The sequence below is a fragment of the Homo sapiens genome, chromosome 14 (assembly GCF_000001405.40).
Source record: "Homo sapiens chromosome 14, GRCh38.p14 Primary Assembly".
NCBI classification, from domain to species: Eukaryota; Metazoa; Chordata; class Mammalia; order Primates; family Hominidae; genus Homo; species Homo sapiens.
Genome location: NC_000014.9, coordinates 62,630,309 through 62,647,758, shown reverse-complemented (window position 1 = coordinate 62,647,758; position 17,450 = coordinate 62,630,309). Strand labels below are relative to the sequence as shown.

General features: G+C 37.9%; 1 annotated feature.

Moving 5' to 3' along the window:
- Positions 11,027-11,528: an enhancer, noted in NCBI's record as "H3K27ac hESC enhancer chr14:63102949-63103450 (GRCh37/hg19 assembly coordinates)". NCBI's record gives its function as "activates a minimal SCP1, AML or CMV promoter by ChIP-STARR-seq in naive H9 embryonic stem cells {active_cell/tissue: H9 hESC(naive)}" and the evidence as "EXISTENCE:reporter gene assay evidence [ECO:0000049][PMID:30033119]".

Genomic DNA, 17,450 nt, shown 5'->3' with positions numbered 1-17,450 from the left:
TTCACCAACAATTAGATTATCTCTACAAAGTTAATTTATGTGTGATCACATTTAATAATAAAGATGCTTCATCAAAATACCTTCCTTCCACAAATGTCCTGAGGACATCAGTTGCTTTTTTGCCTTGCGTTGTGGAACCCCTTCTCCTAAAATCCTGTTGTCCTACCGAGTTAGACATTTCTTGACTCTCCATTGCTATAGTTTTCTTTCATTTGAAATTTTCTCTCTCCCACGAAGCTCACTGTATCTCTGCTATGGTGGGTAGTAAACCAAAAGGAGTAAGAACATTTTGGTTTTGAAATCAGACATTCAGGATCTTAGTCCTTACACCTTGATCCTTCCTAGCCATGTGACTTGGCATGTGAGGCTTCTCAAGGTAAGATGGTTGCTGCTACTTCCACTTCAAGCATTCCATCCATGTTCCACGCTGAGAGAAAAGGAAAGCACCAAACTGAAAGCCTTCTCCTAGCAAGGTTTTATCTAGGAATGGGTACTTTCTCTAGGGACTTCTGATTATATTCTATTGGCTAGAATAATGTCACATGGCTACCCTAGATTAAAGAAGGGCTTATAATGGGTTTATTTTTCCCCATCTACAATGTTGGAGAAAATGGAGGGATTGAAGGAAGACGGTTATGATGATGCTCACTGAGTCACCCTTCACTCTGTCATGGGAGGTATCCCTCCGAGGGTGTGAGAGTTCCATCAATGTGGAAGGCTTGATAAGGCATCTTTATCCATTTATTTAATTTCAGTGTGGTCATATATTTAAAATTACATATTCTTGGTTAGGTGGATTCGTTGATTATAATATCTAATTATAACGGGATGAAATCTCACATAGAAGTGTCTTAAAATGATTCTTGAAAGGAAATCATGATGTGAATATAAAATATAAAATACAGGACAAGGTCATTATCACACACAACCTGAATTTAAAAAAATTACCATCTAAACAGATCAGACGAGAAGCCAGGCAAAACACACACACACACACACACACACACACACACACTGCAAGATGAATCTCACCTGAAATGTATATTAGAGCTTGACATACCAGCATGAAGCTATAATAGTAAGCCTGAAAACTACTCAGAATTTAAAACTTGTGAACATCTAGTATCCAGAACATGAAAATAAACCTCTCCAACTTTTTTAAACAATGTTTAAATTCATAGGATTCTCAGTCCATTACTTTAAATTTTTTAGTGAATTTATAGATAAATATTTAGAACTTTCTTATGAAGTTTTCTAACCTAATAGGGAAAGACGAAAATACATCATTGGGGAAACACCTGTTCTTTTGCCACAGCATAATTGGCTGAAATGACTTGGAAAATAATATGGTATAAACCGAAATTCATTTCTCGGCAAATGCTATGGAAAGACTCACGGGGAAAATATTGCTGCTGCAGATTTGGAGGAGATAGCATTTGAATAAATTATCCAGTATGGGAGAATGGTTATAGAATAGATTAAAGTAAAAATGTTTCAACATTTCTCAGCTTAAGGCAGTTTTAAAGACTCTTTAAATGACTATACAAGTAACTGCATTTTTGTGAACCACTAAAGGAAAAAAAAATCCTCCAGAGATTATGTATTCTCATTATAAAATAAACTTTAATGTAGTTCTTAGGAGAAATTGTGCTATAATTTGGTAATAAATTAATTCAAAATCGTAATGGCTTAATATACGACAAGTTTATTTTTTAGTCACACTAGGTTTGCTATGGGTCTAATGGCTTCCTCCCAAGAAGCATCTTCTAAGCAATGACCTAGAGAACTAGTGTGCTCCACTTTTGTCCTCCATCAGCTTAGATAACGCTGCTAGGTCTCCCTAGCAGGAAAAGAAAGGGCTGAAGTTTCTTGCAGGGGCTTTTTACTGCCTTTGGCAACAAATGACTTCGGTTAATTCTGCTTACATTCCATTGGCCATAGTTAATTGCTTGATTAATGTCAAGACGGTGAGTAATAGAGCTTCCTGTATGCCTAGGAAATATAGGAGGATTGAATGCCTGATGACCACTAGTAATGTTCTTCCACTTCAATAAACATAATTTTTAAAGGAAGTTGTGTGTAAAAATGAATATTATGGAGTAGTTTCTTTGGCTGGAGCAAGAAAAGGATTCTGAAGCAATATTAATACAAGATAGTACCATATGTAAAACTCATTTACTGCATTTTTCACAGACAATGTATTTTAGCAATGAGGTAGAAGCCACAGTATCATCAATGAGGTTAATTTTAAAATACAAAGACTTTTCAACACAGTAGAATCCTCAAAATACATGAATGAGATGGAGGGTAACTAGGAGAATCATTTGTAATTAATAGGAGCTTTCCTGGAAATCTTGTGGTAATATATGATATTGTTATAGAACTGGAAGATGAATTATGCACTTGTAAAAATAAAAAGGCAGAGTTTCAAATTTGATCATTTTTGTGAGGACAAATAACTGTTATGTTGCCTGACATAATTTTTTGGAGGGTGAAAACTCAAACACTCAAAATTTACATTTAATATTTAATAAAGGGGAGATACTTTTGAATAAGACCATATGGAGAAAAAAATTTTGAAAACAAGTATACAAAAATGTAGAAATACTTTACTCATAATTGAAAGCATTACAGAAATACTGCTTACATAATAATTCACATATACTTAAAAACACTTTAAAGGGGATCTTAAACTCCTGAAGAATGAAACGAACACCATTCAATAATTAGTGGATGAGATTTAAAATCATACGTGGGATTTAAAATCATATATAATCTACATTATCTAACCCTTTTATTTGAATCTTATCTGTGTGAAGTATCTTTGACTGTGTTGGTCACCGTTGAATCAGGTATCTAAATAAACTGAATCTGGAACATCCTAATGCCCACATCAAAAGCACTCAATAAAGGTGGATGGGGGAGTGGTGGTGGTGGTACAGCAACAGGGTAGCCCAGTTAGGTTGCACAGGCCCATCTAAACACGTATGATTATATTATTAGAACCAGGAAACTGGTTACTAGAAAAAGTACTGAACTGTAGAGAGAAAATATTAAATATTCAAGCACCTCGCAACACCACCAGTTTTATTTGAGGAATTTCTTTAGGCATTAAAATACAACAATAAACAACCACAGTAACGGTAATACCACTAACATTCTTGAGCATTTATTGTGTGCTTAGAAATTTGTGTATGAACTCATTTAATATAGTCCCATGGCTTAACACGTGGATTTTGTTCATATATTCTTTTATCAAGGTTGTAAAATACCTGATTCAGTTCTGGTATCATATCATTTTTATTTTATTTTGAAACCCATTTTTATTTTGATAAGAATACTTGAGTTCTACCCTCTTAACAGATTTTTAAGTGTATAATATGATATAGTTGACAGTAGATACAAGGTTGTACAGCAGATGACTAGGACTTATTCAACTTGCTGGACTGAAACTTTATGCCTGTTTATTAACAACTCCTCACTTCTCCCTGTCTCTGACCCCTGGCCACCACCATTTACAGTCTTTGATTCTAACAATTTTAACTATTTTATATACTTCATATAAGTGAATTATGCATTATTTGTCTTACTGTCACTGGCTTATTTCACTTAGTATAATATCCTTAAGGCTCATCCATGTGTTGCATATTGCAGAATTTCCTTTTACACCTAAATAGTGTCCATTGACTGTATGTACCACATTTTCTTTATTGATGATGGACATTTAGGTTATTTCTACATCCTGGCTATTGTGACTAGTGCTGCAAAGAACATAGCAGTGTTAATATTTGAGCTCTTGACTTCGATTTTTTGAAAAAAAAAAAAAACAAAACACCTCAGGATTGTTGGATTATATGACAGTTATGTTTTTAATTTTTTGAGGAACCTGCATAACGTTTTCCTCATAGTGGCTGTACCAGTTTGCCTTCCCACCAACAGTATGCAAGAGTTCTAATTTCTCCACATTCTTACCAATATTTGTTGTCTTGTTTTTTAAATAGCCATTGTGACAGGTTTGAGGTGATACCTCATTGTGGTGGTGATTTTCATGTCCCTGATGATTAGTGATTTTGAATGTTTTTGCATATACGTGTTGGCCAGGTATATTTGTATGTCATCTTTGGAGAAATGTATGTTCAAGTCCTTTGCCCATTTTTCAATTGGATTACTGTTTTGGTTTTTTTGTTTTATTTTTTACTATTGAGTTATAGACATTTCTTATACATTTTGAAGATAAGCCCATATCAAATATATGGTTTACAAATATTTTATCCCATTTCATAAATTGTCATTTCATTCTGATTTTCTTGGTAATGCAAAAGCTTTTTAGTTTGATATAGTCCAACTTGTCTGTTTTGGCTTTTGTTGATAGTGCTTTTGGTGTCATATCTGAAAAATAATTGCCAAGACCAGTGTCAAGGAGCTTTTCCCCTACTTTTTTGTAGGAGTTTTATAGTTTCTGTTCTTACATTTATGTCTTGAATTCATTTTGAGTTTGGTTTTTGTATATGGTGTGAGATGCGTCATTATTTTCTATGTGACTATCCAGTTTTCCTAGTCCCATTTCTTGAAGAGACTATTATTTTCCCATTATGTAGTCATAACAGCCTTGTTGAAGATCAGCTGACCATATATACTTGGATATATTTCTGGGCTCTCCATTCTGTTACATTGCTCTGTATGTCTATAATTATGCCTTTACCATACTGTTTTGTTTTTTTTTTGTTGTTGTTGTTGTTTAATATATGGTTTATTTATTTGAGACAGAGTTTCGCTCTGTTGCCCAGGCTGGAGTGCAGTGGCATGATCTCGGCTCACCACAACCTCTGCCTCCTGGGTGCAAGTGATTCTCCTGCCTCAGCCTCCCAAGTAGCTGGGATTACAGGCATGTGCCACCATGCCCAGCTAATTTTGTATTTTTAGTAGTGATGGGGTTTCTCCATGTTGGTGAGGCTGGTCTTGAACTCCTGACCTCAGGTAAGCCTCCTGCCTCAGCCTCCCCAAAGTTCTGGGATTACAGGTGTGAGCCACTGTGCCTGGCTTTTTTTTTTTTAATTATTATTATACTTTAAGTTTTAGGGTACATGTGCACAATGTGCAGGTTAGTTACATATGTATACATGTGACATGCTGGTGCGCTGCACCCACTAACTCGTCATCTAGCATTAGGTATATCTCCCAATGCTATCCCTCCCCCCTCCCCCACCCCACAACAGTCCCCAGAGCGTGATGTTCCCCTTCCTGTGTCCATGTGTTCTCATTGTTCAATTCCCACCTATGAGTGAGAATATGCGGTGTTTGGTTTTTTGTTCTTGCGATAGTTTACTGAGAATGATGATTTCCAACTTCATCCATGTTGCTACAAAGGACATGAACTCATCATTTTTTATGGCTGCATAGTATTCCATGGTGTATATGTGCCACATTTTCTTAATCCAGTCTATCATTGTTGGACATTTGGGTTGGTTCCAAGTCTTTGCTATTGTGAATAATGTCGCAATAAACATATGTGTGCATGTGTCTTTATAGCAGCATGATTTATAGTCCTTTGGGTATATACCCAGTAATGGGATGGCTGGGTCAAATGGTATTTCTAGTTCTAGATCCCTGAGGAATCACCACACTGACTTCCACAATGGTTGAACTAGTTTACAGTCCCACCAACAGTGTAAAAGTGTTCCTATTTCTCCACATCCTCTCCAGCACCTGTTGTTTCCTGACTTTTTAATGATTGCCATTCTAACTGGTGTGAGATGATATCTCATTGTGGTTTTGATTTGCATTTCTCTGATGGCCAGTGATGGTGAGCATTTTTTCATGTGTCTTTTGGCTGCATAAATGTCTTCTTTTGAGAAGTGTCTGTTCATGTCCTTCACCCACTTTTTGATGGGGTTGTTTGTTTTTTTCTTGTAAATTTGTTTAAGTTCATTGTAGATTCTGGATATTAGCCTGTTGTCAGAGGAGTAGGTTGCGAAAATTTTCTCCCATTTTGTGGGTTGCCTGTTCACTCTGATGGTAGTTTCTTTTGCTGTGCAGAAGCTCTTTAGTTTCATTAGATCCCATTTGTCAATTTTGGCTTTTGTTGCCATTGCTTTTGGTGTTTTAGACATGAAGTCCTTGCCCGTGCCTATGTCCTGAATGGGAATGCTTAGGTTTTCTTCTCGGGTTTTTATGGTTTTAGGTCTAACGTTTAAGTCTTTAATCCATCTTGAATTGATTTTTGTATAAGGTGTAAGGAAGGGATCCAGTTTCAGCTTTCTCCATATGGCTAGCCAGTTTTCCCAGCACCATTTATTAAATAGGGAATCCTTTCCCCATTGCTTGTTTTTCTCAGGTTTGTCAAAGATCAGATAGTTGTAGATATGCGGCGGTATTTCTGAGGGCTCTGTTCTGTTCCATTGATCTATGTCTCTGCTTTGGTACCAGTACCATGCTGTTTTGGTTATTGTAGCCTTGTAGTATAGTTTGAAGTCAGGTAGCGTGACGCCTCCAGGTTTGTTCTTTTGGCTTAGGATTGACTTGGCAATGTGGGCTCTTTTTTGGTTCCATATGAACTTTAAAGTAGTTTTTTCCAATTCTGTGAAGAAAGTCATTGGTAGCTTGATGGGAATGGCATTGAATCTGTAAATTACCTTGGGCAGTATGGCCATTTTCACGATATTGATTCTTCCTACCCATGAGCATGGAATGTTCTTCCATTTGTTTTTATCCTCTTTTATTTCCTTGAGCAGTGGTTTGTAGTTCTCCTTGAAGAGGTCCTTCACGTCCCTTGTAAGGTGGATTCCTAGGTATTTTATTCTCTTTGAAGCAATTGTGAATGGGAATTCACTCATGATTTGGCTCTCTGTTTGTCTGTTATTGGCGTATAAGAATGCTTGTGATTTTTGCACATTGATTTTGTAACCTGAGACTTTGCTGAAGTTGCTTATCAACTTAAGGAGATTTTGGGCTGAGACGATGGGGTTTTCTAGATATACAATCATGTCGTCTGCAAACAGGGACAATTTGACTTCCTCTTTTCCTAATTGAATACCCTTTATTTCCTTCTCCTGCCTGATTGCCCTGGCCAGAACCTCCAACACTATGTTGAATAGGAGTGGTGAGAGAGGGCATCCCTGTCTTGTGCCAGTTTTCAAAGGGAATGCTTCCAGTTTTTGCCCATTCAGTGTGATATTGGCTGTGGGTTTGTCATAGATAGCTCTTATTATTTTGAGATATGTCCCATCAATACCCAATTTATTGAGAGTTTTTAGCATGAAGGGTTGTTGAATTTTGTCAAAGGCCTTTTCTGCATCTATTGAGATAATCATGTGGTTTTTGTCTTTGGTTCTGTTTATATGCTGGATTACATTTATTGATTTGCGTATATTGAACCAGCCTTGCATCCCAGGGATGAAGCCCACTTGATCATGGTGGATAAGCTTTTTGATGTGCTGCTGGATTCGGTTTGCCAGTATTTTATTGAGGATTTTTGCATCAATGTTCATCAAGGATATTGGTCTAAAATTCTCTTTTTTGGTTGTGTCTCTGCCTGGCTTTGGTATCAGGATGATGCTGGCCTCATAAAATGAGTTAGGGAGGATTCCCTCTCTTTCTATTGATTGGAATAGTTTCAGAAGGAATGGTACCAGTTCCTCCTTGTACCTCTGGTAGAATTCAGCTGTGAATCCATCTGGTCCTGGACTCTTTTTGGTTGGTAAGCTATTGATTATTGCCACAATTTCAGCTCCTGTTATTGGTCTATTCAGGGATTCAACTTCTTCCTGGTTTAGTCTTGGGAGAGTGTATGTGTCGAGGAATTTATCCATTTCTTCTAGATTTTCTAGTTTATTTGCGTAGAGGTGTTTGTAGTATTCTCTGATGGTAGTTTGTGTTTCTGTGGGATTGGTGGTGATATCCCCTTTATCAGTTTTTATTGCGTCTATTTGATTCTTCTCTCTTTTTTTCTTCATTAGTCTTGCTGGCGGTCTATCAATTTTGGTGATCCTTTCAAAAAACCAGCTCCTGGATTCATTAATTTTTTGAAGGGTTTTTTGTGTCTCTATTTCCTTCAGTTCTGCTCTGATTTTAGTTATTTCTTGCCTTCTGCTAGCTTTTGAATGTGTTTGCTCTTGCTTCCCTAGCTCTTTTAATTGTGATGTTAGGGTGTCAATTTTGGATCTTTCCTGCTTTCTCTTGTGGGCATTTAGTGCTATAAATTTCACTCTACACACTGCTTTGAATGTGTCCCAGAGATTCTGGTATGTTGTGTCTTTGTTCTCGTTGGTTTCAAAGAACATCTTTATTTCTGCCTTCATTTTGTTATGTACCCAGTAGTCATTCAGGAGCAGGTTGTTCAGTTTCCGTGTAGTTGAGCGGTTTTGAGTGAGTTTCTTAATGCTGAGTTCTAGTTTGATTGCACTGTGGTCTGAGAGATAGTTTGTTATAATTTCTGTTCTTGTACATTTGCTGAGGAGTGCTTTATTTCCAAGTATGTGGTCAATTTTGGAATAGGTGTGGTGTGGTGCTGAAAAAAATGTATATTCTGTTGATTTGGGGTGGAGAGTTCTGTAGATGTCTATTAGGTCCGCTTGGTGCAGACGTGAGTTCAATTCCTGGGTATCTTTGTTGACTTTCTGTCTCGTTGATCTGTCTAATGTTGACAGTGGGGTGTTAAAGTCTCCCATTATTAATGTGTGGGAGTCTAAGTCTCTTTGTAGGTCACTCAGGACTTGCTTTATGAATCTGGGTGCTCCTGTATTGGGTGTATATATATATTTAGGATAGTTAGCTCTTCTTGTTGACTTGATCCCTTTACCATTATATAATGGCCTTTTTTGTCTCTTTTGATCTTTGTTGGTTTAAAGTCTGTTTTATCAGAGACTAGGATTGCAAGCCCTGCCTTTTTTTGTTTTCCATGTGCTTGGTAGATCTTCCTCCATCCTTTTATTTTGAGCCTATATGTGTCTCTGCAGGTGAGATGGGTTGCCTGAATACAACACACCGATGGGTCTCGACTCTTTATCCAATTTGCCAGTCTGTGTCTTTTAATTGGAGCATTTAGTCCATTTACATTTAAAGTTAATATTGTTATGTGTGAATTTGAACCTGTCATTATGATGTCAGCTGGTTATTTTGCTCGTTAGTTGATGCAGTTTCTTCCTAGTCTCAATGGTCTTTACATTTTGGCATGATTTTGCACTGGCTGGTACCGGTTGTTCCTTTCCATGTTTAGTGCTTCCTTCAGAAGCTCTTTTAGGGCAGGCCTGGTGGTGACAAAATCTCTCAGCATTTGCTTGTCTATAAAGTATTTTATTTCTCCTTCACTTATGAAGCTTAGTTTGGCTGGATATGAAATTCTGGGTTGAAAATTCTTTTCTTTAAGAATGTTGAATATTGGCCCCCACTGTCTTCTGGCTTGTAGAGTTTCTGCTGAGAGATCTGCTGTTAGTCTGTTGGGCTTCCCTTTGTGGGTAACCGGACCTTTCTCTCTGGCTGCCCTTAACATTTTTTCCTTCATTTCAACTTTGGTGAATCTGACAATTATGTGTCTTGGAGTTGCTCTTCTCGAGGAGTATCTTTGTGGCGTTCTCTGTATTTCCTGAATCTGAATGTTGGCCTGCCTTGCTAGATTGGGGAAGTTCTCCTGGATAATATCCTGCAGGGTGTTTTCCAACTTGGTTCCATTCTCCCCGTCACTTTCAGGTACACCAATTAGATGTAGATTTTGTCTTTTCACATAGTCCCATATTTCTTGGAGGCTTTGTTCGTTTCTTTTTATTCTTTTTTCTCTAAACTTCCCTTCTCGCTTCATTTCATTCATTTCATCTTCCATGGCTGATACCCTTTCTTCCAGTTGATCGCATCGGCTCCTGAGGCTTCTGCATTCTTCAAGTAGTTCTCGAGCCTTGGCTTTCAGCTCCATTAGCTCCTTTAAGCATTTCTCTGTATTGGTTATTCTAGTTATACATTCGTCTGAAATTTTTTCAAAGTTTTTAACTTCTTTGCCTTTGGTTTGAATTTCCTCCTGTAGCTTGTAGTTTGATCGTCTGAAGCCTTCTTCTCTCAACTCGTCAAAGTCATTCTCCGTCCAGCTTTTTTCCGTTGCTGGTGAGGAACTGCGTTCCTTTGGAGGAGGAGAGGTGCTCTGCTTTTTAGAGTTTCCAGTTTTTCTGCTCTGTTTCTTTCCCCATCTTTGTGGTTTTATCTACTTTTGGTCTTTGATGATGGTGATGTACAGATGGGTTTTTGGTGTGGATGTCCTTTCTGTTTGTTAGTTTTCCTTCTAACAGACAGGACTCTCAGCTGCAGGTCTGTTGGAGTTTGCTAGAGGTCCACTCCAGACCCTGTTTGCCTGGGTATCAGCAGCGGTGTCTGCAGAACAGTGGTTTTTCATGAACCGCGAATGCTGTTGTCTGTTCATTCCTCTGGAAGTTTTGTCTCAGAGGAGTACCCAGCCATGTGAGGTGTCAGTCTGCCCCTACTTGGGGGGGGTGCCTCTCAGTTAGGCTGCTCCGGGGTCAGGGATCAGGGACCCGCTTGAGGAGGCAGTCTGCCCATTCTCAGATCTCCATCTGTGTGCTGAGAGAACCACTGCTCTCTTCAACAGGGACATTTAAGTCTGCAGAGGTTACTGCTGTCTTTTTGTTTGTCTGTGCTCTGCCCCCAGAGGTGGAGCCTACAGAGGCAGGCAGGCCTCCTTGAGCTGTGGTGGGCTCCACCCAGTTGGAGCTTCCCGGCTGCTTTGTTTACCTAAGCAAGCCTGGGCAATGGCAGGCGCCCCTCCCCCAGCCTCGCTGCCACCTTGCAGTTTGATCTCAGACTGCTGTGCTAGCAGTCAGTGAGACTCCGTGGGCATAGGACCCTCCGAGCCAGATGCAGGATATAATCTCATGGTGTGCCATTTTTTAAGCCCGTCGGAAAATCGCAGTATTCGGGTGGGAGTGATCCGATTTTCCAGGTGCCATCTGTTGCCCCTTTCTTTGACTAGGAAAGGGAACTCCCTGACCCCTTGCGCTTCTGGAGTGAGGCAATGCCTCGCCCTGCTTCAGCTTGTGCACCGTGCGCTGCACCCACTGACCTGTGCCCACTGTCTGGCACTCCCTAGTGAGATGAACCCGGTACCTCAGATGGAAACGCAGAAATCACCCGTCTTCTGCGTCGCTCACGCTGGGAGCTGTAGACCGGAGCTGTTCCTATTCGGCCATCTTGGCTCCTCCTCTTGTTGTTTTTTAAGACAGGTTCTCACTTTGTCACCCAGGTTGGAGTATAGTGGTGCACTCTTGGCTCACTGCAGCCTTGACCTCCCAGGCTCAAGCAATCCTCCTGCCCCCCAGATAGCTGGGACTACACATGCACACCACCATGCCCAGCAAATTTTTGTATTTTTTGTAGAGATAGGGTTTTGCTGTGTTGCCCAGGTTGGTCTCAAACTCCTGAGCTCAAGTGATCCACCCACATTTGCCTCCTAAAGGGCTGGGATTATAGGCATGAGCCACTGTACCTGGACTACCATACTCTTTTGATTACTACAGCTTGGTAATGTACTTTGAAATCAGGCAGTGCGAGGCTTTCAGCTTTGTTCTTATTTCTCAAGATTGGTTTGGCTATTGGTGGTTTTTGTGGCTCCATATAAACTTCAGAATATTTTTCTATTTATGTAAAAATGCCATTGGGGTTTTAATATAGAGATTGCTTTGAATCTATAGATCTCTTTGGGAAGTATGAACATTTTAATAATATTAAGTTTTCCAGTGCATGAACACAGGATGTCTTTCCATTTGTTTTTGTCTTGTTGAATTTCTTTCATCAGTGTTTTATATCTTTTTGTATACAAGTCTTTTACCACCTTAGTTAGATTTATTACTAGGTTTTTTATTCACTCTTTTTGGCACTAACATAAATGGGATTGTTGTCCTAATTTACTTTTCAGATATTTTGTTCATGTATAGGTATTCAGTTGATTTTTTTATATTGATTTTGCAACCTGCAAGTTTACTGAATTCATGTATTAGCTTTAATGGATTTTTTTATAATGGTGTTTTTAGGGTTTTATAAACATTAATATAAGACTATGTCATCTACAATTTTACATCCTCCTTTCTGATTTGGATGTCTTTTGGTTTTTCCCTTCAATTGCTCTGGCTAGGCCTTCTAGTACTATATTGAATGGAAATGGCAAGAGTGGGCATCCTCATCTTGTTCCTGATGTTAGAGGAAACACTTTGTTTTTCTCTGAGTATAATATTAGCTGTGGGCTTTTCATATATGGTCTTTATTATCTTGAAGTAATTTTCTTCTATTCCTAGTTTATCAAGAGTTTTTATTATGAAAGAATGTTGAATTTTGCCTAACACTTTTTCTGTATCTATTGCAATGATCATATGATTTTCATGATTTGCTCCATTAATGTATCATATTAGTTTTCATATGTTGAATCATATTTGTATCCCAGGGATAAATATTACTTAGCAACAATGTATAATCCTTTTAATGTGTGGGTGGATTTGCTTTGGTAGCATTTTCTTGAGAATTTTTGTGTCTATATTATTCAGGGATATTGGCCTCTGGTTTTCTTGTGCTGTCTTTTCCTGGTATTGATATTAGACTAATGCTGGCCTAATAAATTGAGTTTGGAATTGTTCCCTCCTGTTCATTTTTTTTTTTTTTTTTGAAGAGTTTGAGAAGGATTGGTATTAGTTCATCCTTAAATGTTTGGTGGAATGAACACATGAAGCTATGCAGCTCTGGGCTTTTCTTTTTGGGGAGGTTTTTGTTACTAATTCAATATCCATACTAGTTATAGATCTGTTCAGACCTTCTATTTCTTTATTGGTAGGTTGTATGTTTCTAAGAATTTTCTTCTAGGTTGATCATATTAGTCTCTACTGATCTTTTTTATTTCTGTGGCATCAGTTGTAATGTCTCTATTTTTATTTCTGATTTTGAGTCCTCTCTTTCTTTCTTTCTTAGTTTAAGGGTATGTCAACTTTGCTTGTTTTTTTTTAAAAAAACTGTTAGTTTTATGTTTTTTTCTGTTCTTTATTTCATTTATTTCTGCTCTAATCTTTGTATTTCCTATCTTCTCCTAATTTTGGGCTTGGTTTCTTTTTCTAGTTTCTTGAAATGTAAAATTAGGTTGTTTGAAATCTTTCCCCTTTTTAATTAAGGGACTTATTTTTATGAACATTCCTCTTAGCACTGCTTTTGCTTCATACTGTGAGTTGCATATGTTGTATTTTTGTTTTTGTCTTGTTTACCTAATTTCCTTTTTCTCTTTCTATTTTTTTTTTTTTTTTTTGAGGCAGAGCCTCGCTCTGTCACCCAGGCTGGAGTGCAATGGCACAATCTCTACTCACTGCAACCTCTGCTTCCTGGGTTCAAGCAATTCTCCGGCCTCAGCCTCCCGAGTAGCTGGGATTACAGGCATGAGCCACCATGCCCAGCCCTAATTTCCTTCTTATCTCTTCTTTGACGCAATATTTTTTCAAGAGTGTGTTGCTAAATTTCCATATCCTAGGAGCATTTTTTTGTTGAACATAATTACAAGATAGGAATAAATGGAAGTGCTAAAGGTCAAGGACACTCTTATTAACATATAAATAATATATAGGCAATATATAAATATTTATGTAGCAGGAAAGCACTAGTTTTATGCAGCCTCAGGGATACAATGCGGTAAATCAAAATATTCTTCTTTTCACATGCCCTTTTATTTATGGGAACACGTGATCCAGCTCTAGCCAAAGAGAGGAAACTGAAAAACTCAGAATTAAGCTTTTGGGAAAGTCAAGGCATATCCATCTGTCTATTTTTGGTTTTTAAAAAAAAATTTACCCAAAGTTTGGGGTAGAATTTGGTGTTAGAGATAGACATTTTAGAATCCTCACCAATTTAATTTTTTAAAATTAAGTTTTGAGAATACTTTATATATTCTAGATACAGATAATTTTTCAGAAATGTGATTTGGAAACATTTTTGCTTTATTGTGGCTTATTAATTCTCCTGAAGTGTCTTTTGCAGAGAAAAATTTTTCAACTTGGAAGAAGTCCAATTTATCATGTTTTTCTTTTATAGATCATGCTTTTGTTGAGATGTCTGAAACTGTAACTCAAGTTTACAAAAGTTTTCTTCTAAAGGCTTCATAGTTTTACACACTTACATTAGTATCTCTGATCCGTCTTGAGTTTTTATATCAGTTGGAAGTCTAGATTGAGGTTTATTTTTGTTGTTGTTCATGGATGTCTAGTTAATTCAACACCATTTGTTGAAATGATTATCTGTTTTCCAGTGAATTGCCTTAGTGCCTTTATAGAAAATCAATTGATCATATTTATGTGGGTCTATTTCTAAACTCTCTATACTGTCTCACTAATTGTGTGTCTATTCTTTCACCCATATCTGATTTTCAGCAGAGGAGTAAACACAGCAAAACATGGAAATAAAGACCATATATTAGGTTGGTACAAAAGTAATTGCAGCTTTTGCCATTACTTTTTTTTTTCTTTTTTCTCTTGAGATGGAGTCTCTCTTGCCCAGGCTAGAGTGCAGTGGCACCATCTCAGCTCACTGCCCCAGGTTCAAGCAATTCTCCTGCCTCAGCCTCCTGAGTAGCTGGGATTACAGGCATACACCACCACTCCTGGCTAATTTTTGTATTTTGAGTAGAGACGGGGTTTCACCATGTTGGCCAGGATGGTCTCAAACTCCTGACCTCAAGTGATCCACCTGCTCCAGCCTCTCAAAATGCTGGAATTACATGAGTGAGCCACAGCGCCCAGCCTTGCCATTACTTTCAATGGCAAAAACCGCAACTACTTTTGCACCAAACTAATAGAGTATTTCAATAATGCAGGCAAGAAATGATGGTGTCTTAAAACAGTTGGTAGCAGCAGGATTGAAAAGAAATAATCGTATTTTGGAAATATTTAGAAGAGCACATAGGATGTGCTTCAAGGTGCAATACAGAGTATGAGTAAATATGAGAGTAAAAGGATGAAGTCAAGGATTTGGGCCTGAATGTCTAGAAGAAAGGTGTTTCCATTTTTCTGAGACTGGAGACACTAGAGAGAGACAGGATTGAGTGGAATGAAGAGTTCAGTAGAGGTTAAGTTTGAGAGTCTTAATTTAGGGTAAAGTGGAACAAAGTTGTGATGCCAAGTAGCCAGTTCTGTATATTTGAGACCAAAGTTGAGGGTAGAAATTGGTGCTACAGATAGACATTTTAGAATTCTCGTCAAGATGATGATATTATAATCTGTGGAACATAATGAAATAATCTAAAAAGATACATAGAAGAGGTATGTGAGTCCAAGACCTAGGACACACAATGTTTAGGGGTCTGGGAGACAGGTAAGTATTGGGAAAAGTAACTAACCAGACATAGGAAGTTATATCAAAGGACAAAGATAATAGTATTCTACAGTCTAAGTAAAGAAAGAATCAGAGCCACTGTGTCTATTAGTGGTTTCTGATAAACAGAATAAGGTGAGGCCTGAGAAGTCACGGAGAAATGGACATAAACTCTTTTGGTGGCAGGGGAATGGTGAAGACCTGCTTGGGGTTGATTTAAGAAATGGGGGAAGGAGATGAAGTTGAGATAACAACACTAGAGTTCTGCCATAAAGGAATCAGAAATATGTAGTAACTGGGGTAGAAGTTGGAGTCTAGGCAGCTATCAAGGTAGGACATATTAGTGCATGTTTGTATGACTTTGGGAAAGATTCAGAAGAGAGGTAAAAACTGGTGATGCAGGTGCAAAGCAACAACTGCAAGAGGATATGAGATTGAGTGTTCTACCAAGGGGTTCTTAGACTTTATGAAAGGACGAACAATAAAAGGAATAAATTATAATGTTCAATAGTAGAGTAACTATAGTTAAGAACAATGTAGTATATATTTCAAAACTGCTATTAATAGAAATGAGGACTTGAAATGTCCTAAAGCAATTGAAATAACAAATGCTTGAGGTGATGGATATCCTAAACACCCTGAATACAAATATTTTTTAAATAAATGGGGAATTTTACTTTTCATAAAACAGAATATCCCAGGGCTATTAAAACAATTTCTCAATGCCACCAACATCCCCAAATTTATCTTCCCATCCAGCCATCTTTAGTTATTTATATTTTCTACCAACTTTATACCTATTATTCTGTAGTCTACTTTGAACTACCGGAACTGGGACTCTGAGTAAGAAGGGATTGTGTTTATCAGACTCTTTTAGCAGCTGGCTTCTTGTTAAATTCTGCCGAAAAGGAGGTGTACCGATAAGGGGTCTGAGAGTGGAAAGAAGGAGGAACAATTTTGATTCTGGCTCCAAACACATTGACAGTTGCTCTAGTAGCTGCTGGTTGTTGAAGAGTTGTGGAGACCAGATGGCTGTGCATTTACTCCTGCAAGCCAACTCTTCATGGCTTTCAGCTCTGGCAGGGGCAGCATTCTTTGGAAGTTCTAGTTCCGGCATGTTAGAAAGTGCATGCCAATGGGCTTCACTGCTAAGATGATAGCAATTTCCTGATTTCAGGGTGACATCTTGTCTTCTTTCTGCTGCTCCAGCCCTTTTCATGCATTTTAATTGTTTTACTCTATTAAGTTCTTTCTGCTTGAAATACTTAATGTTTTCTTTTGTTTGTTTTCCTCTGTAGGTCTTTACTGATACTTGGTAACAGCAGAGGTATCTGAGGAAAAAGGTTATCAAAATAAGAATATAAATGGACTTGAAAAAAATGATCTCATTACCAGTGGAAAATATGATACTGATAACCCATGGCATTCTTTATTTTCACAATTAACTCATGTATTATCTGTTGAATCCTGGGAAAGAGCACCCATAGAAGACAAGGCTTGGGGGGCCAATTGAACACTGAACCTGACCATTACAATGGTAATGGTGGCTTAAGGATGGTGAAATGATTTGAGCACTTCTAACTGCATCAGAGAGCTTACACAAAGAAAACAAGCTTAAGGCTTAAAACTTTCAGCATCAGCAAGGATTGAGAGCTGAAAACCAGACTCAAAATTTGTTTCTGTAGTTTGAAAACTATAAGTAGTATTTGTATACTTTCCAAGTCTCATGTGAAAATTAGGGTCTTAATTGAAATGGAGATAAATGTTTAGAATTGAAAAGGAAATCTTCGGGTGAAATCTGAAAACCACAAGCCCCTCAATTTCCTGAGCACCCTTGCCAGTACAAGAAATTCTTCCTCCTTTACTACAGAGGCTCACCTGCCTGAAGATCCCCTGAAGCAGGTGCCTTGTGAGAAGATGCTCATTCTCCCCTAGACCCACTCCAATATACCCAATTCCTTCTAGACCCATTACCAGAGTCATAGTACAGAAAGTCCTGGAAAGACATGTAAAAATTCTAACTAGGATATAGCTAAGTTTAAACTAAAAAGTAGGAAAATGTGCATTTTATAAGAGCCAAAACTTGGAAAATATGTGTTGGAATGGATTCTAAGAATCTT